This window comes from Homo sapiens, chromosome 17 (genome assembly GCF_000001405.40).
Source record: "Homo sapiens chromosome 17, GRCh38.p14 Primary Assembly".
Classification (NCBI taxonomy): domain Eukaryota; kingdom Metazoa; phylum Chordata; class Mammalia; order Primates; family Hominidae; genus Homo; species Homo sapiens.
This window is the reverse complement of record NC_000017.11, coordinates 44467075-44487766: the sequence shown is the minus strand read 5'-3', so window position 1 is coordinate 44487766 and position 20692 is coordinate 44467075. Positions and strand designations below refer to the sequence as shown.

General features: G+C 40.0%; 1 protein-coding gene across 13 annotated transcripts in view; it reads left to right on the top strand.

Annotated features, from left to right (window-relative positions):
* The window catches only part of GPATCH8 (G-patch domain containing 8), a 108126-nt gene that overhangs the window by 15640 nt on the left and 71794 nt on the right, over window positions 1–20692 (top strand). For 4 of the 13 annotated variants that reach the window (NM_001304942.2, NM_001002909.4, XM_011524557.2 and 1 more), the window contains one exon: window positions 12864–12938. The exons of 1 other annotated variant lie outside the window; for it this stretch is intronic. Coding sequence is in view for 2 of the 12 variants with exons in the window: in NM_001002909.4 (NP_001002909.1) it covers window positions 12864–12938 (75 nt within the window). In the remaining 10 variants the exon portion in view is untranslated. 8 more of the 13 variants (XM_047435672.1, XM_047435673.1, XM_047435674.1 and 5 more) reach the window with 6 other exon arrangements.

The following is a 20692-nucleotide window of genomic DNA, read 5'->3' as shown; positions in this document are numbered from 1 at the left end:
CAATGACAGGAACACCAAGTAAAAGTAAACAAAATACTAGGTGTCACTGGGGTTGGTGATAACTTTTCAGATGGAAAACCAAAGGCACACCCATGAAAGAAATAATTGGTAAGTTAGACTTTATTAAAATTTAAAACTTCTGTTCTGCAAAAGACACCATCAAGAGAAAGAGAAGACAAGACAGTTTGGCAGTTTCTTACAAACCTAAACCTATTTTTTACCGTTCAATCCAGCAATCATACTCCTTAGTACTTAACCAAAGGAGCTGAAAACTTAAGTCTACACAAAAACCAAAAACATGGATGTTTATAGCATTCTTTATTTGTAATTGCCAAAACTTGGCAGCAGTCCAGATATCCTTCAGTAGGTGAATGGATAAGTAAACTGTGGTATACCAATGGAATATTATTCAGCCCTAAAAAGAAATGAGCTATCAAGCCAGGAAAAGACATGGAAGAACCTTGGATACTTATTCAAGAATATGTGAAAGAAGCCAATTGGAAAAGGCTACATAATGATTGCAAATATATGACATCCTGGAAAAGGCAAAACCGTAGAAACAGTAAAAAGATCAGTGATTGCCAGGAGTTTGAGGGGAAGAAAATAAAGGGATGAACAGGTGGACACTGTGGATTTTTTGAGCAGTGAAATTATTCTCTATGATACTATAATGGTAGATAAATGTCTGTATACATTTGTCAAAACTCATAGAACTACATCAAGAGTGAATCTTAATGTACTATGGACTTTGGCTGATAATGATGTGTCAATGTTGGTTCATCTATTGTAGCAAATGTATTATAATAAATGTGCAGGATGCTGTGTCTATACTTTCAGCTCAACTTTGCGATAAACCTAAAACTGCTTGAAAAAATAAAGTCTGTCTATCTGAAAGTAATCACAAAAGTTAATAATTACAATAAACTCATATTCAGTATTTCTAAAGCACTTCTTCCAAAGAGCATGTGTAATTTAAAACTTTACTAAAAAACTGAAAGGTAACAAATTGAAAACAATGATTACCTCTAAGAAATGAAACGGAGAAAGGAGGGCTTTCTTTCATGTTTTACTTGTTACAGTGTGGCCTAAACTTTTAACAATACCCATTTTACATTTGTATTATTTGTGTTTAGTAGTATATTTTAATAAAGGGGGCCACAATATACTAAAAAATTAAAGACATTGCTTGCACAACCTTTCCTCACCTGTGACCAGGCTATCAGACTAGATGACATATTTAGAGGTAAGATTAAAGTTATTACAAAAATTGTTAAAAAAAATTTTTTTTAAGTTCTCCCTATGAGCTCAGTCTAATAAAATGTCTCAAGAAAAGCATTTTACAAAAAAATGCCCTTAATGGGCATAATTTTAACAATGCAAATCACCTTTAAAAGACTGTGTGCCTGTAATCCCAGCTATTCTGGAGGCTGAGGCAGCAGGACTGCTTGGGCCCAAGTTTGAAAACAGCCTGGGCAACACAGGCTGTTAAAGAAAAGAAAGAAAAGAAAAGAAATGGAAAAAATGGAGAAAGGGGAATGGGCAAGAGCAAGAATGTGAAAGAACTGAGTCTTTACCTTGGTTAACTTGAATAAAATAAAAACTGTCTTGTATGAACCAGCCTCTTTTCATTTTATTTACATAGGCAACATGGTGGAACCCCGTCTCTACCAAAAACAAAACAAAAACCACATTAAACAAACAAAAATTAGCCAGGTGTGCTAATACATGCCTGTAGTCCCAGTTACCTGGGGGGCTGAGGTAGGAGAATCAGTTGAGCCCAGGAAGTAGAAGCTGCAGTGAGCTGTGATTGCACCACTGCCCCGTAGCTTGGGTGACAGGGAGACCTTTAGTTATTCTAAATAAACACATAATATTCACTAGTGTACTAGAAAATGTTCTTATATAGGGCATATAGATGAAGAAAGAGTACCTGGACTTAAAGAACATGCTTTATGGTAGAGGAGATAAGTAAACAGGGAGTCACAGTACAAGTACCATAACGAAGGTATAAACATAAAGCTAAAGGAGCACAGAGAAGGAGTGTCAGACAAGACTTCAAAGTAAAAGTGAGTTAAGTGAGTTGGTCTTAGGGCTGGGGGCATAGGAAGAGTGTGGGGACACTCTCATTGAGGGAATGGTAGCCTGGCCAGATTTGCTTTTAAAAACTTTATTAGAGGCTGGGCGGGATGGCTCACAGCAGGAATCCCAGCACTTTGGGAGGCCAAGGTGGGAGGATCGTTTGAGCTCAGGAGACGGAGTCTGCAGTGAGTCGAGATTGTGCCACTGCATTCCAGCCTGAGTGACAGAGCGAGACCCTATCTCAAAAATAAACAGAAAATCAAACATTAGTAAAGGCCAGGCGCTGTGGCTCAAGCCTATAATCCTAGCACTTTTGGAGGCCGAAGCAGGGGGATCACCTGAGACCAGGGGTTTGAAACCATGCTGGGAACATGGCAAGACTCCAAGTCTACAAAAAAAAATTTTTAAATGAAAACATTAGACGGGTGTGGTGGCTTGCACCTGTAGTCCCAGCCACTTGGGGGGCTGAAGTGGGAGAATCACTTGAGCCCAGGAGGTGCGGTGAGCCAAGATTGTGTCACTGCACTCCAACATGGATGACAGAGTGAGACCTTGTCTCAGAAAATAAAAACAGGCTTGGCATGGTGGGCTCACACCTGTAATCCCAGCACTTGGGGAGGCTGAGGCGGGCGATCTCTTGAGCTCAGGAGTTCGAGACCATTCTGGGCTACATGATGGAACCCAGTCTCTAAAAAAAATACAAAAAAATGTAGCCAGGCATGGTGGCATGTGCCTGTGGTCTCAGCACTTGGGGAGCTGAGGTGGGAGGATCACTTGAGCCTGGGAGGTTGAGGCTTCAGTGAGCTGAGATTGAATCACAAACAAATACATAATAAAAGTTAGACAGAGGGTCCCACTATGCTGCAGGACACATCATAGCACTTATGATACATTGAAATATCAAATTAGGGCGAAATTTAACATGACAATTACAACATTAAGTTTTACTTTTTAAAAGTTTTTTGAAACTCACAGCCAAAAGAAGCCTAAAGTGACATGACAACAAAATGTAATGTGGTATCCTCTGTGGGATCCTAGAACAGAAAAAGACCATTAGAGGAAGTCTAAGATAATCTGAATATAGTATGGACTTTAGTTAATAATAATGTGTCAGAGTTGGCCTCCCAAAGCATTGGGATTACTACCTACCCACCTGGTGTGAACCACCCACCACACCTGGTTTGCCCGTGTTTTTTGTAGCCAACTTTTCAGCAGCAAAAGTGTGACTCTGGTGTCAAATATTGAGAAGCCAGGCAAGAAAATTAGGTGGTCTGTTACTTTAAGCTTTAAAAAGTTTCATATAACCTTAATGGATATTTTGATGTTATTTTGTGTTTACCTTTGAGCTTTTAAAATGAAAACTAAATGTATGTTTGAATCAACGCCATTTAAAATAAATTTCTGGGCTGCGCATGGTGGCTCACACCTGTAATCCCAGCACTTTGGGAGGCTGAGGCAGGCAAATTGCTTGAGGCCAGGAGTTCGAGACTAGCCTGGCCAACATGGCGAAACCCTGTTTCTGCTAAAAAATAAATAAATAAATAAATTGGTCTGGCATGGTGGCTCACACCTGTAATCCCAGCACTTTGGAAGTCCGAGGCGGGCGGATCACGAAGTCAGGAGATCAAGACCATCCTGGCTAACACAGTGAAACCCTGTCTCTACTACAAATACAGAAATTAGCTGGGTGTGGTGGCATTTGCCTATAGTCCTAGCTACTCGGGACGCTGAAGCAGGAGAATCGCTTGAACCTGGGAGGTGGAGGTTGCAGTGAGCTGAGATCACGCCACTGTGCTCCAGCCTGGGCAACAGAATGAGACTCTGTCTCAAAACAACAACAACAACAACAACAACAACAACAAAAACAACCAAACAAAAATTAGCCGAGCCTGGTAGTGCATGCTTGTAATACCAGTTTCTTGGGAGGCCGAGGCACAAGAATTACTTGAACCCAGGGGGCAGAGGTTGCAGTGAGTTGAGATCGTGCCACAGCACTCCAGCCTGGGTGACACAGCAAGACTCTGTCTCAAAAAAATAAAAAATAAAGTAAATTTCTGATTAAATATTTTGAATTTTATTTTAAAATGCAGTAAGTATGAAATTCAAAAGAAAAAAATGCAGTTAAAAATAGCCTACCTCGGCCAGTCGCGGTGGCTCACGCCTGTAATCCCAACACTTTGGGAGGCCGAGGTGGGCAGATCACAAGGTCAGGAGTTCAAGACCAGCCTGGCCAATATGGTGAAACCCCATCTCTACTAAAAATACAAAAATTAGCCAGGTGTGGTGGTGGGTGCCTGTAGTCCCAGCTACTCAGGAGGCTGAGGCAGGAGAATGTCTTGAACCCGGGAGGCGGAGGTTGCAGTGAGCCGAGATGGTGCCACTGCACTCCAGCCTAGGTGACAGAGTGAGACTCCATCTCAAAAAAACAAAAAAAAGAAATGAGTGTCTAAGAGATATGAGAGGTAGGCTGTATATATATATATATATATATATATATATATATATATATATTTTTTTTTTTTTTTTTTTTTTTGAGACGGAGTCTCACTCTTTCGCCCAGGCAGAGTGCAGTGGTGCTGTCTCGGCTCACTGCAAGCTCCGCCTCCTGGGTTCACACCATTCTCCTGCCTCAGCCTCCTGAGTAGCTGGGACTACAGGCACCAGCCACCATGCCTGGCTAATTTTTTGTATTTTTAGTAGAGACGGGGTTGCACCGTGTTAGCCAGGATGGTCTCGATCTCCTGACCTCGTGATCCGCCTGCCTCGGCCTCCCAAAGTGCTGGGATTACAGGCGTGAGCCACCGCGCCCGGCCTAGACACCCATTTCTAAGAGTTAACTTCTACTACAAGCTTCTAATGTATTCTAGAGCTGCTCTGTACATGTTTTTTAGTTTAGTTTTGAAAATTAACATGCAGTAGTATTGACTTATTTGATATGGATTTCTATGAATTTATTTTTTGATAGAAATATATTTTTTTTAATTTTACTTTAAGTTCTGGGATACATGTGCAAAACATGCAGGTTTGTTGCATAGGTATACATGTACCATGGTGGTTTGCTGCACCTACGAACCCGTCATCTAGGTTTGGTTTGGTTTTTTTTTTTTTTTTTTTGAGATGGAGTCTGGCTCTGTCGCCCAGGCTGAAGTGCAGTGGTGTGATCTCGGCTCACTGCAGCCTCCGCCTCCTGCATTCAAGCGATTCTCCTGCCTCAACCTTCTGAGTAGCTGAGATTACAGGCGCCCGCCACCACACCCGGCTAATTTTTTTGTGTTTTTAGTAGAGACGGGGTTTCACCATGTTGGCCAGGCTGGTCTTGAACTCCTGACCTCAAGATCCACCTGTCTTGGCCTCCCAAAGTGCTGGTATTACAGGCATGACCCACTGCGCCCAGCCTCGTCTAGGTTTTAAGTCCCGTACGCATTAGGTATTTGTCGTAATGCTTTCCCTCCCCTTGCCCCCCACCCACTGACAGGCCCCAGTGTATAATGTTCCCCTCCCTGTGTCCATGTGTTCTCATTGTTCAGCTCCCACTTAAGAGTGAGAACATGGGGTTATTTATTTTTGAGACAAGAGTCTCACTCTGTCGCCCAGGCTGGAGTGCAGTGGCGACACCTTGGCTCACTGCAACCTCTGCCTTGTAGGTTCAAGCGATTCTCCTGCCTCAGCTTCCTGAGGACCTGGATATCAGGCGTGTACTACCACACCCGGCTAATTTTTCTATTTTTAGCAGAGATGGGGTTTCTCCATGTTGGCCAGTCAGGTCTCAAATTCCTGACCTCAAGTGATCTGCCTGCCTTGGTCTCCCAAAGTGCTGGGATTACAGGTGTAAGCCACCATGCCCAGCCTAGTTCTATGAATTTTAACACATTTATAGATTCTTATAACTGCCACTACAATCTGCCTATGGAACAGGATTTTAATTTAAGTATTCAAAAAATACATTTTTTAGAGGTGAAATACAGAAATATTTAGCCTGTTTTCACCATTTTTCAAAAAATTTAAGTACAATTAAGATACAGTGAAATTCGCCCATTTACATGTACAGTTCATCAGCACCATAAGACGGTGAAAAAAAAGTACAATTTGAGTATTGACAAAACGCATCATAGTGCAGCCACCACAACAACCAGTGTATAGCTTCTGACAATCACTGATCTTTTTCTTTTCTTTAGCTTTGTTTTTTCCAGAATGTCCTATATATGGAAGCCTTTTGAGTATGGCTTCTTTTCACTTAGCATAATTAATTTGAGATTCATCTCTGTTACTACTTGTATGAATAATTTGTTTCTTTTTAGTGCCAAGTAATATCTCATTGTATGGGGTATACCATAGTTTTTAAAGTTCATTTCTCAGTTGACATTTGGATAGTTTCTAGCGTACAAATAAAGTTGTTAAAAACATTCACAGACAGGTGTTTTAAGTTGAGTGTACTATTTTATGTTCCCATCAGTAATCTATGAAAGTTGCTCGTCTGAAATTTTATCAGAGGAGGGCTCACGCCTGTAATCCCAGCACTTCGGGAGGCTAAGATGGGCAGATTGAGCCCAAGAGTTCGAGACCAGTCTGGGCAATATGGCAAAACCCCATCTCTACCAACAATACAAAAATTAGCTTGGTGTAGTGGCGTGCACCTCTAGTCCCAGCTACTCGGGAGCCTGAAATGGGAAGGATTGCTTAAGCCCCAAGGAGGGTTGAGGCTGGAGTGAGCCATGATGGTGCCACTGCATTCCAGCCTGGACAACTGAGAGAGACTGTCTCTCCAAACAAATGAAGTGGTATTAGGTTGTTTTTTTTTGTTTTTGTTTTTGTTTTTGAGACTGGAGTCTCACTCTGTCACCCAGGTTGGAGTGCAGTGGCGTGATCTCGGCTTACTGCAACCTCTGCCGCCCGGGTTCAAGCGATTCTCCTGCCTCAGCCTCTTGAGTAGCTGGGATTACAGGCGCCTGTCATCGTACCCAGCTAATTTTTTTTTTTTTTGCCCTTGTTGCCCAGGCTGGAGTGCAATGGCGCGATCTCAGCTCACTGCAACCTCCTCCTTCCGGGTTCAAGCGATTCTCCTGCCTCAGCCTCCCGAGTAGCTGGGATTACAAGCATGAGCCACCACGCCTGGCTAATTTTTTATTTTTATTTTAGTAGAGACGAGGTTTCTCCATGTTGGTCAGGCTGGTCTTGTACTCCCGACCTCAGGTGATCTGCCCTCCTTGGCCTCCCAAAGTGCTGGGATTATAGACGTGAACCACCGCGCCTGGCCAATTTTTGTATTTTTTAGTAGAGACGGAGTTTCACCATGTTGGCCAGGCTGGTCTTGAATTCCTGACCTCGTGATTCTCCTGCCTCGGCCTCCCAGATTGCTGGGATTACAGGCATGAGCCACCGCGCCCTGCCGCATTTTTTTTTAAATGCCATTTTAATAGGCATGTGGTGGTAATACATTGTGATTCTAGTTTGTATTTCCTTAATGGTTAATAATGTTGAATGTGTTTTCATGTGCTTACTTGCCACCTGTATGTCATTGATGAAATGTTTAAATCTTATGCCCACTTTAAAAATTGGGTTGTTTTTTTCCCCTCTTTTGAGAATTTTGTGTATTTTCTGGATACAGGTTTTTAATCAGGTATGGATTTGTTCAGCATTCATTGGTTTCTGATTTTTTTTTGAAAAGGAATAAGATTTGTAAATATTTTCTCCCAGTCCAGCCTATCAATTTTTTTTTTTTTTTGAGACGGAGTCTTGCTCTGTCGCCAAGCTGGAGTGCAGTGGCGCAGTCTCGGCTCACTGCAACCTCTGCCTCCTGGGTTCAAGCAGTTCTCCAGCCTCAGCCTCCTGGGTAGCTGGGATTACAGGCACGCACCACCATGCCCGGCTAATTTTTGTATTTTTAGTAGAGACAGGGTTTCACCATGTTGGTCAGGCTGGTCTCGAACTCCTGACCCTGTGATCTACCCGCCTCGACCTCCCAAAGTGCTGGGATTACAGGCGTGAGCCACCTTGCCCAGCCATCAATTTTTTATTCCATATATTGATTGTGCTTTGGGGTTGTCTCTACGAAAATATTTGCCTAGCCTGTGGTCACAAAGATTTTTCTCTTGTATTTTTTCTTCTAGAATATATCATTTTCAGTTTTACATTTAGGTCTGCAGTGCATTTTGGGTTCTTTTTTTATTCAAAGTATGGATTGAAGCTCTTTTGTTTTGTATATGGACACCTAGTTCTAGCACCGTTAATTGAAAACATTAAAATTTCTCTGTTGAACTGTCTATATTATTAATCCTGATTTGTATTGCATCTGACAGATCCAGAATGATTTGAAAAGTTAATTAGCTAACTGTATTTAGAAATTTGTTAAATGTCTTATTTGGAACCTGGCATTTGCTGACAGTAGTTTGTAATCTACAGAAGGGTTTTCTAAAATAACTTTAAGCCTAAGATTAAAAGATGATTTTGCTAATGATTCATTATCTTTTTGGAAAAACTTGTGTGATTTTTCATGCAGCAAGGATGAGCTGAAATGGTTTTTCCTAGAAGGTGCCCATTTTCTTTTTTGTAGACTTACTTGGTAGTTCTCTAATAATCTGTGTTTGTGCTTTAAATGTCATCTTTGATAGTGATATATTTTGGGGCAATTCTCTTTTTGTTTAAAACCATCACATAGTTGTCCTAAATTAAGTACTCTAGGCCAGGCTTGATGGCTTAGGCCTGTAATCCCAGAACTTTTAGAGGCAGAGGCAGGAGGATCACTTGAGCCCAGGAGTTTGAGACCATCTAAATCAAAATAAAAAACAGCCGGGCGTCATGGTGTATGCCTGTTGCCCTAGCTACTTGGGAGGCTGAGGTGGGAGGATTACTTGAGCCCAGGAGTTAAGGTTACAGTAAGCTATGATGGTTCCACTGCACTCTAGCTTGGGTGACAGAGAGAGACTCTGTCTCTAAACAAACTAAAGGTTTAATTACTTTAAAAAAGTAGTACATAGTTATTGTTAGGATGAGGGTTTTTTTGTTTTGTTTTTTGTTTTTTTTTGTTTTTGAGACAGACTCTTGGTTTGTTACCCAGTCTTGAATGTGGTAGCTCAGTCAGCTCACAGCAGTCTTGAACCCCTGGGCTGAAGTGATCCTCCTGCCTCAGCCTCCCTAGTAGCTAGGACTATAGGACTAGGACTATAGGTACACACCACCACGCCCATCTAGTTTTTTTTGTATAGACAAGGTCTTGCTCGCTATGTTGCCCAAGTTGATGTCCAACTTCCTGGCCTCCAGCAGTGCTCCCACTTCAGCCTCCCGAAGTGCTGGAATTACAGGCATGAGCCACTGTGCCTGGTTTATTCCTGTATCATTAAATTGTATAGACCTGTAGAGTGAAAGAATCGATATTCAGCTGTACATTGGTGTTCTGTACTATAATGAGGTTTGAGTTAATCTCAGTATTTGGATATTTATTATTTAGTAATTTAGAAGTACTTTGCAATTAACACCTTTAAAGTAACTTAAAATGTTGAGTGTTGCAGTAGAAATTAAAATGCCAAGAAGCAGGTGTTTGGAGGTAAATTGAAGACAGACTTTCAGGCTGCGCTTGGTGGCTCACATCTGTAATCTCAGCACTTTGGGAGGCTGAGGCGGGCAGATCACTTGAGGTCAGGAGTTCAAGATCAGCCTGGCCAACATGGTGTGAACCCCCCCACCCCCCACCCCATCTCTACTAAAAATACAAAAATTAGCCAGGTGTGGTGGCGTGTGCCTGTAATCCCAGCTACTCCGGAGGCTGAGGCGGGAGAATCCCTTGAATCTGGGAGGCCTTGTTTGCAGTGAGCTGAGATGGCATCACTGCGCTCTAGCCTGGGCGACAGACCAAGACTCCATCTCAAACAAAACAAAACAAAAAGACTTTCAGGATTAATAGCTGTTTTTAATTTTTTAAAATCATTTGTTCATGACTGCTTTTTTTCATTCCTGAAATACCCACTTTTAAGTCCTTTTTTTTTTTGTCTTTGGAAAACATACTCCTCCTGTCCCTTGCTATTCCATTTTTCTTCTTTTTTTTCCCTTTCTTTATTTGGATAGACTTTGCCATACAATTTTATTTTTATTATTTTTATTGTGGTAAAATATGTGTAACATAAAATTTATCACTTTAACTATTTTAAAGTATATAGTCCAAGCCAAGTGTACTGGTGTGGCGCCTGTAGTTCCAACTGGTCAAGAGGCTGAGGCTGGGCTCCTTGAGCCCAGGAGTTTGAAGGCAGCCTGGGCAACATAGTGAGACCCCCTTCTCTTAAAAAAAAGGATACAGTTCAGTAGCATTAAGTACATTAACAATATTGTACGACTACCACCACCACCATCTTGTTCTAGAACTTGTTCATCACTGCCACACAATTTTAGCACCTAATTGTTCCCTAGTGTTTGGTTGCCATGTTATTAGGTGTAAGAGATAAACAAGACTCAGTTCTTGTCCTCAAGGACTTCACAGTCTAGTGAGAGAAACGTAATACTTACTATACAATTTGGCAAATTACATGTTAGAGCTCCCCATCATTAGATTTTATTTATTGAATTAGAATTTTAATTTTACCTTGAAAAGGCAAAGTAACTTTTTGTTAGGTTAACATTCAAGTTATCATATCTTTCCACACACTGAATTCGTTTAGGCTAGACCAAAAGACTGAAGTCTTTAGTCTTTTGATTTAGGTCATTGTGGGACTCACAAATCCTGATGCCCTATATTTTAAGACAAGAAGGGAACCAGAAAATTGATATTTTGATTTAAAAGCAAATTATGAGCTATTCCTTCCTGATGAAGCAAGGAGATCTGTGAAAACTATGATTAGAGATAACTTCTTAGTTGTCTGCAGCTATCATTTGTTGAAACTGTTTTTACTTATTTTAGTTGCAGTGACAACTTGCTTGATTATGATCAAATACATCATTATAAAGCATGTTTATCTCCTTTGCAGATCATCTTGAGGAATAGTTGCTTTGGAAACTGTCAAGAGCTTATTTTTAATTTCTTGAAAAGCCGGGAGGTATCAGTTGATTTAAAGTTTAATGTCTTAGCAGATTTAGTTTAAAATAATGTTACCAGATTGAGCAGTATTTATTTAAAAATAGGTTTTATTTTCATTACTATGACTTGTTTTCTTCATTATTAAAGATTTAATGCAATATTGCATATAAAAAAGTAAAACAGGCTGGGTGCGGTGGCTCACGCCTGTAATCCCAGCACTTTGGGAGGCTGAGGTGGGCGGATTGCCTGAGCTCAGGAGTTTGAGACTACCCTGGGCAACATGGTGAAACCCTGACTCTACTAAAATACAAAAAATTAGCCAGGCATGGTGGCACACACCTGTAGTCCCAGCTACTTGGGAGGCTGAGGCACGAATACCACTTGAGCCTGGGAGGCAGAGGTTGCGGTGAGCTGAGATTGTGACACTGCACTCCAGCTTGGGCTACAGAGTGAGACTTTGTCTCAAAAAAAAAAAAGGTAAAACAGCGTGGCTCTTTGTTTGTAAGACTCTGTAGTCTTCCTAATGTAGTCAGTCTAAAAGAGTTGGTGTCCCAAATGGTTGATAGTGTTTTAGTTTACAATTTCAACACTTGTTAGGAGACTAAAAGTTCAGATTACTAGGCCTAGATTCCTAATAAGTTGTGTTTTGTTTTGTTTGAAATAGGATCTCGTTCTGTCCCCCAGGCTTGGAGTGCAGTGGCTTGATCACAGCTCACTGCAGCTTCGACCTCCTTGGCCTAAGTGATCCTCCCATCACAGCCCCCTAAGTAGCTGGGACTACAGGCTCACACCACAATGTGTGGCTAATTAAAAAATTTTTTTTTGTAGAAACAGGGTCTCACTGTATTGCCCAGGCTGGTCTTAAACTCTTGTCCTCAAGTGATCTTCCCGCCTCAGCCTCCCAAAGTGCTGGGATTACAGGTGTGAGCCACTGTGCCCAGCTCTAATACATTTTTATAAAGTTTTTGTTTGTTTGTTTGTTTGTTTGTTTTTGAGATGGAGTCTCGCTCTGTCTCCCAGGCTGAAATGCAGTGGTGCGATCTCGGCTCACTGCAAGCTCCGCCTCCCGGGTTCACGCCATTCTCCTGCCTCAGCCTCCCAAGTAGCTGGGACTACAGGCACCTGCCACCACGCCCAGCTAATTTTTTGTATTTTTAGTAGAGATGGGGTTTCACCGTGTCAGGATGGTCTAAATCTCCTGGCCTCGTGATCCACCTGCCTCGGCCTCCCAAAGTGCTAGGATTACAGGCGTGAGCCACCGCGCCCGGCCTTTTATAAAGTTTTTTCTTTTTTTTTTTTTCTTTTTTGAGATGGAGTCTCGTTCTGTTGCCCAGGCTGGAGTGTGGTGGCCCAGTCTCAACTCACTGCAACCCCCACCTCCCGGGTTCAAGCAGTTCTCCTGCCTCAGCCTCCTGAGTAGCTGGGACTACAGGTGCACACCACCACAGCCAGCTAATTTTTTGTAATTTTAGTGGAGATGGAGTTTCATTATTTTGGCCAGGCTGGTCTCGAATTCCTGACCTCAGGTGATCCACCTGCCTCAGCCTCCTGAAGTGCTGGGATTACAGGCGTGAGCCACCACGCCTGACCCATTTTTATAAATTTTTAAAAAGTTGGAATTTGTGGTGTGGTTTTGATTGTGTACTGAAAATGAACGATTGCAGTGTCCTTTTAGGTTAAAAAAAAAAAAGAAAAGTTAAAAATAATCCTTAGTTTGGTTAAGCTGTTAATAGATTTGACACTTAACTGCTTTTGAAAAATAACTGTAATCATCTTTTTTCAGGGTAATCACTTTGATCAGTATGAGGAAGGACACTTGGAAATTGAACAAGCGTCACTTGACAAGCCTATAGAATCGGTAAGATAATCAGTGCTTAATTTCGGGTCTTAGCTAGTTAGTTAGGTAGTGTTCGTGTGACACTTGATGTGAGTGAAGTTAAACTTATTAATAACCAATAGTACAGTTTAGAGTTGTTTTCTTGCATGCCATACAGTAATCAATTAAAGCTTGGGATGTAATCTAATATTTAATATGTTGGGAAATCAGTCCAAAAAAATCTAGAAACACATTAGAATTTCAATGGAAAAATATCTTTTTGGCCCATACCGATACTTTGTTGAAGGTAGCAAGTTAAAGTTTAGCATTTTGTGAATTGAATAAAGGAGTAAAATGTATTTTGATCCTTTATAGCTTCACCTTTCTTGGGCAATATAATTATGTATGAAATGTTCCTACATAAGTAGAATATGTATGGAAATTTTTTTTTAAATGTTATATTAAAAACATTTAAGGAGTAATATGTTTTATTTACCAGACTGTTGTGAAACATGGCAAGTTTGGTCTCTGTAGCTTAAGAAATGTGGTTTTTGTCAAAAGCTGATTATTTCTATCTTTTCACACTGCTTAGTTTTGGACACTGATGATATCAAGCAATAGAACAAGGAGATTTATTTACCTGGCTCTTAGTTTTAAAAAAACTTCTTAATTTTTGAACATTATTTTCACTTTGAAAAACCCGTTATTTTTAAATAACACAGTCTATTGTTAAAATGTCTAAACTTGTCATTATTGTCAGCAGTTACTATTTGTGCTTAAGTGTACATATTTAATAAGGATTTCGGTGAGTTATTGGTAAAACTTGAGTGGGGAAAAAAAGTCAAAAAGGGAATCTTAATCTTTATAACCATCATGACAAGCCCCCCACTTCCCCTTAAGAAACACTAGCTTCTTCCTCAGGAAAATAAGAAGGCAATTTAGAGAATACGGATATTTTAACTTTAGCTTTTATTTTCAAAACTGCAACATAGTAAAGGATCAACATATATTTATGTTCCTAATTAGGTTGGTGTTGTGTGTGTTTGTATGTGTGTTTAGATGTTTACAGAAATTTACACAACTTGGGGTGTTCGACATTTTTCTTCCACAGCAGTTGGCCCATATTAGCTAAGCAGCCATGATCTGGTTTGTATTGCACGGTCTGCCTTTTTTTAATTTCTTCTCTAGGGTTTCTTTCTCCCCACCTCCCTTTCTTATTTCTGTCTTTCTGGTCCAGTGAACACTGCATATAGTACCTTCTGTCTTAATGTGCTGGCATGATGCTAGACTTAGGCATGGCAGTAATTGATGACGCATGTGATAATGCTGCAGAGGGAGAATTCTCATCTGATATTTCACTGAAAGCCTAGTCTTGTGTTTTGACATAAGGATAAAATGCCAAGCCCACTTTGCTAAGTTAAAAATCACTGATTTTAGGCCGGGCACAGTGGCTCAACGCCTGTAATCCCAGCACTTTGGGAGGCCGAGGTGGGTGGATCACGAGGTCAGGAGATCGAGACCATCCTGGCTAACACGGTGAAACCCCATCTCTACAAAAAATGTAAAAAATTAGCCGGGCATGGTGGCAGGCGCCTGTAGTCCCAGCTACTCGGGAGGCTGAGGCGGGAGAATGGCATGAACCCGGGAGGCAGAGCTTGCAGTGAGCCAAGATCGTGCCTCTGCACTCCAGCCTGGGCAACAGAGCGAGACTCTGTCTCAAAAAAAAAAAAAAAAATCACTGGTTTGTGCCTTGTTCTGAATTATTTTGGGGATTATGACAAGGCAGAATTTTGTAATGAAATCTGTAGGCTAGACAGTATCTTGTATTTGCAAACTAATTTAATTTTTCCATTTCAATTTACAAAACTGGAGGGTCTGGCCGGGTGCGGTGGCTCAAGCCTGTAATCCCAGCACTTTGGGAGGCCGAGACAGGTGGATCACGAGGTCAGGAGTTCGAGACCAGCCTGGCCAAGATGGTGAAACCCTGTCTCTACTAAAAATACAAAAATTAGCCGGGCGCAGTGGTAGGCACCTGTAGTCCCAGCTACTCGGGAGGCTGATGCAGGAGAATGGCTTGAACCTGGGAGGCGGAGATTGCAGTGAGCCGAGATTGTGCCACTGCACTCTAGCCTGGGTGACAGAGCGAGACTCCATCTCAAAAACAAACAAATAAAAAAACAAAAACAAAAAAAACCAGGAGGGTCTAAGTTTAAGACAGAGCTGTCAGAATCAGCTCCCCAGTACCACATTCTACAAGGTGCATGGTTGGTTAATTGTCTTACACAAGCTATAATTCTGTGGATACTCAACAGTAGCAGTAAATTTAGATGAAATTTGCAACCTAGTATTCATTATTACGATACTTAACAAATATTTTTTAAACCACTAAATTAAATGATATTTAACATATTTTAAGCCTAGAGGGCTACACTGAAATATTTTTGGAAATTTCATTCCTATGGCACATGAGGCTAATGCTATTTTACCTCTCATAATGTCCAGGACTTTTTCTGCCACATATAGCGAGAACAGTATCAGAAGGCAGTCTAATTGAGTAATCATTGTTGAATAATCTCATTCAGTGGGAGTAGAATTGATAATATGCCTTATTTATTAAGTAGTGCTACCTTCTTCACTTAAAATAGCAAATAGTATATAGTACTCAGGCTGGATATTTAATTTTTTTAAATAAATGAATGTTCAGAAATGTATATTAGTAATTACACTTCTAATGAAAATTTACTTCTGAAAGATAAATATATGCATTATTTGTGATGAGATAGTTTAGGTTGTAGGAGAGAACTTCATGGCCTACATTGTATTAGGTAGAAGTAGGGCACAGGATCTGGGAGAATAAACAAAGATGCAAGAAAAAATAAGAAAAAAAAAAAGAAGTATTGACACACAAGATAAGAGGGATCTTATTTCTGTTGCCTGATCATTTGTGAGTAAAATTTTAAGTGTTTTTCTCTTTTTTCAACTTTTTTTTTTTTTTTTTACTTTTTTTGGTCACAGAAAATTTTAAGTTTTAAGAGAAACTCCTACAGTGATTGGCATCAAAGTAGGTAGTGTTCCCTCCCTCCCACCAAACAAAAGAAGTCCCTTATCACCTGAGGAATGCCCACTAAATAATAAGTAAATATTTAATTACATGGCTGGCTGGCTATATTAAGCTGTTTTGTTTTTAGGGGAAAATGGTGTTACTTCTAACACAGAAAGAGTGCTGAATTAAAATCTTTCTCTGCAGCAATATCTATTGAGAGGTGCTGACTGTTTTGCTACAGCATGCAACTCAAAAGTGGCTGAAAATATGCAGCTTTGGGAGTCTACAGATCATTGCAGGAGCTAAAGGTCTAGTCATTTTTTTTTAACCAAAGGTAATCTGCAGCAGCTGGTAACCGTGGAGGTCTCTGCACAGGTTTGTGCCAAGAATATGCCTGTGTGAAGGGTTATTGTGAGTATAGGATTAAGGTCTTTTTATTTTGTAGTAGGCTAAATTTGATGCAAACCAGCAAGATGGGAAATGAGACATGAAGATGCAATAATGTATTATGCTTTTAGTGAACTTCCGAAGCTTAGATTTGTTAGTGAGATATTGGTATTTCAATTTTATTAGGTAAATGTTGAAAATATATCAAAATCCAGTATTTGTAAAGCATTTAATAATATTTTTTGAAGTTTAATTTTCCCTTATTTGCTTCAACCAACCAGATATCTTTCAATGAGATTTTTCCTCAAGAATGAAATATCTTTTTAAGAAAATTATATGAGAATTGCTAAACAACTTGATTATCTCTATTAAAAACAAGTTGAAAAGTGTGAACATTTTATCCCTATTACGAGAAGCTTTGAATTTGAATTTTAAAAATTGTTATTGCTTTATGAGATATTTAGGTCTCAAATGTTATAATTATAACCTCCACTTACTTAAAGACAAAATATTTACAAAACAAAGCTTGATCTAAAGCCATAGCTCCGTCTAGGATTCAATCACAGAAGAATTAATTGGTGTTTTTTAGGATACACGGTCCTTTATGACCTTTATCATAGTTAGAAGATGAGGAATTGGGCGCAGGGGCTCACGCCTGTAATCCCAGCACTTTGGGATGCTGAGGCGGGCAGATGACGAGGTCAGGAGTTCGAGAACAGCCTGACCAACATGGTGAAACCCTGTCTCTACTAAAAATACAAAAAGTAGCCAGACGTGGTGGCACATGCCTGTGCATGTGCTGGGATTACCCAGCTACTCAGGAGGCTGAGGCAGGAGGATTGCTTGAACCTGGGAGGCAGAGGTTGCAGTGAGTCGAGATCACGCCACTGTACTCCAGCCTGGGTGACAGAGCGAGACTCCGTCTCAAAAAAAAAAAAAAAAAAAAGCGCTGGGTGCAGTGGCTCACACCTATAATCCCAGCACTTTGGGAGGCCGAGGTGGGTGGATCACAGGGTCAGGAGATAGACCATTCTGGCTAACACGGTGAAACCCCATGTCTACTAAAAATACAAAACTTAGCCGGGTGTGGTGGCACACGCCTGTAGTCCCAGCTACTCAGGAGGCTGAGGCAGGAGAATCGCTTGAACCCAAGATCGTGCCACTGCACTCCAGCCTGGGTGACAGAGCGAGACTCGATCTCCAAAAACAAACAAACAAAAAAAGATGAGGGATCAGATGGGAGAATGACTTTAAGCTATATAGAAGGCAGAATGCATGCATCATAGACTTAAAACATGTTGTTACTGTTGTGGTTGGAAGTGCAACTACCCATCAGCCGCTAGTCGGTCCTTGCTCTACCTGACTGATTAAAATTCTTTCTTTATGGTTGTCAGGATGACCTAATAGGTTTAAAAATGTAGTGTAAGCTTCAAACTCCAGTTGCTGATGTTTAGTTTGCGCATCTTAAGGATTTGGAAGTATATGTATAATTGGGTTTTGTGATGTTGCATATCTGTCTAGATCTGTGGACTCCACTAGTTCCAAACTGTAATTCTTTATAAGACTGCTGATTTGACATTTAGCAGTGACCATATGTGGACTGCACTAGAAATAATGTGCTTCTTGGAGCTGAATGGTGTAGCATTACTATATGGCTTTTCTCTCTAGTCTTCATTGTGTCATCTGTAGTGAGCTATAGAGTTTTTTTGTTTCGGGAATTTTTACAACTTGTTTGCATGGGTTCACCTAGTAGCATTGGTTCTTGCTTATAGTCTTTAATACACAATCAGCAAAGCTTACAATCCACTCAAGAGACTTACTATTTTGTCACTGTTGAAAATGGGCTAAATGATGTAAATTGAATGTGGCTGTCAACTAAAACAAAATTCAGTATAGAATTAGTATTCATCCAGTCATGGACATACCTGTAGCATGGTTTTCTCTTGAGACATAATAGGCCGTTTCCTACTGTAAAAACTTACAGCCAGCTTCATACAATAAAGTAAATTTTTTCCTGTGTTTTGGCAGGCTCCCGTCATACATGTGTATTGGTGGTGCTGTTACCAAAATGATCATTGTTACTATGGTGGCATACAGCTTCATGGAGCAGAAAGTTTCTACTTGGTATTTAATTAATAAAATGTTGAGGAATGGCTGAAACAGTTAATAATGAAGTATTTTTACATTGCTGGTATTGTGTTTTCAGCATATTGGTAGTTTATAATACAGACTTCTTGTTGTCAAAGATCTTCCCGCTTAAAAATTATATTCCTTTTCTCACGTGTTTATTAGAGAAGAACAAATGATAAAAATTAGCATTTTAATGATATATTTATGTGTAGAAATAGGGGGAGAAAAAAAGGCCAACTGAGGTAATCTAGGTGAAAAAGTTTGTTTTCAGTTTAGCTACATGGTTTAACCAGAATTAGAAGAAGAACTTCATTTCCAACCAAAGAACAGGCCGCACAGCCACCATTTTGGGGTCTTGAGCAGAGAGAGAAAACAAATAGGTGGTTTGTGAGAACTCTGAATTATGTAGAAAACCAGCTTTTCTACATAATAAATAAGCTTTGCCTTATTTATTAAAGTTAGGATTTCTTTGCAGTTCTTAAATGTACATTTAAATTATATCAAGTTGACTTTAGAAGAAAAAAATTATAAGCAGCCTACCTCTATCATGTATCTTTGTTGTTAACCAGAGTTTTTAAAATGAAAAAAATTTCTGTAATTTATTTTTGGTTCTATGAGATTATAATTAAACCCCAAATTATATATTTAAAAAACAAAAACCAAAAGATTTTTAGTCATTATTATAGTAACTGAAATTAAGTAGAGTTACTTTTTTTTAAAATTATTTTTAAAAATAATTACTACTTTGGAAATAAATTGGCTGGGCATGGTGGCTCACACCTGTAATCCCAGCACTTTGGGAGGCTGAGATGGGAGGATCACTTGAGCCTTGCAGGTCAAGGATGCGGTGAGCTGTGACTGTGCTACTGCACCCCAGCCTGGGTGGCAGAGCGAGACCCTGTCTCACAAAAAAAAAAAAAAAAAAAAAAAAAAAAAAGGAACAAAGAAATTTAATGTTCATTGCCCTTGTTCTGTCTAGATTACCTGTTTGAGCCGTAAGCTACTTGTGCCAACTTGGTGTTGTAAATAGCATCCATGGACCAGTCGTGGTGGCTTATGCCTGTAATCTCAACACTTGGGGAAGCCAAGGCAGGCGGATCACTTGAGGTCAGGAGTTTGAGACCAGCCTGGCCAACGTGGTGAAACCCTGTCTCTACTAAAAATACAAAAAAAAAATTGGCTGGATGTGGTGGTGCGTGTCTGTAGTCCCAGCTACTCAGGAGGTGGAGATTGTAGTGAGCTGAGATTGCCGTTACACTCCAGCCTGAGCTACAGAGTGAGACTCCGTCTCAAAAAAAAAAAAAAAATCCTGGAATAATTGGAATAATTTGCAAAAATTACAGTCGTTAACAGAGAGAATAGATTGCTTGTTTCCCAAAGACTGGTTATTGAGTTTCTTGTTCTTTCACAGAGATAGTTTTGATCATTTCAGAGGTAGACAAGTCTGGTTTGTTTTACTTTGTTATAAATTATTTTGGTGTGCCTCCTTGTGTTAGCCGTCATCCTTAAGCCTATTGGATTTTTGACGAGTGTTTATAAAACCTTTTTTTCTTTTACTGATAGGAAGGGAGACCATACTGAATACTAGCCCTTCCTGCAGAGTCACAGAGCTGCCTTTTTTCCTCCAAAAGCAGGTAGTTTGAAATGATAGGAAAGGTCCAGTTTTTCTGTGTTGGTCATTCATTTACCCTAGGAGGTTGGTGAGGGGAGGAGAGATTCTGGGAGATGTGTCTATTGTTTCTATTGCCTTTGTTATGATTGGAAGGACTTAGAGTGGCAAGTTAAATATTTTATTATAGTCCCTGAGAAAGTGGATTTAATTAAAGAACAGTTTTAACCTAAAGTTTTAGAAGAGAAATGCCACTACCATTTTCTATCAATGATTTTTTTCTGAGAAGGTGACAGCCATCCTCTTGAGTGGTTTTGTAAAAGTGGTGCTAATGTGTATAACCTTAATTTTTTCTTTTTTTTCTCCCTCTCCCTTTAACATTTGCTTTTCCTTTCACTGTTGTCAGTCACAACACGCTGCTCTTGAATCTCTCAGCTGGTCTTGACTCGTGAATTTACTTATGCTTTCACTCTTTAATAAATACATTACTTGCAAGCAGTGAATTGAAAACAAGACAAAAAAAAAAACGACCATTAGTGATTGGACAGTTTCTTACTTTGTGTTACATTTAACTGTTCTTTTGACAGCCCAGTTTTTAAAGCCAGGTTCGTATGGAAATGCTTTCAC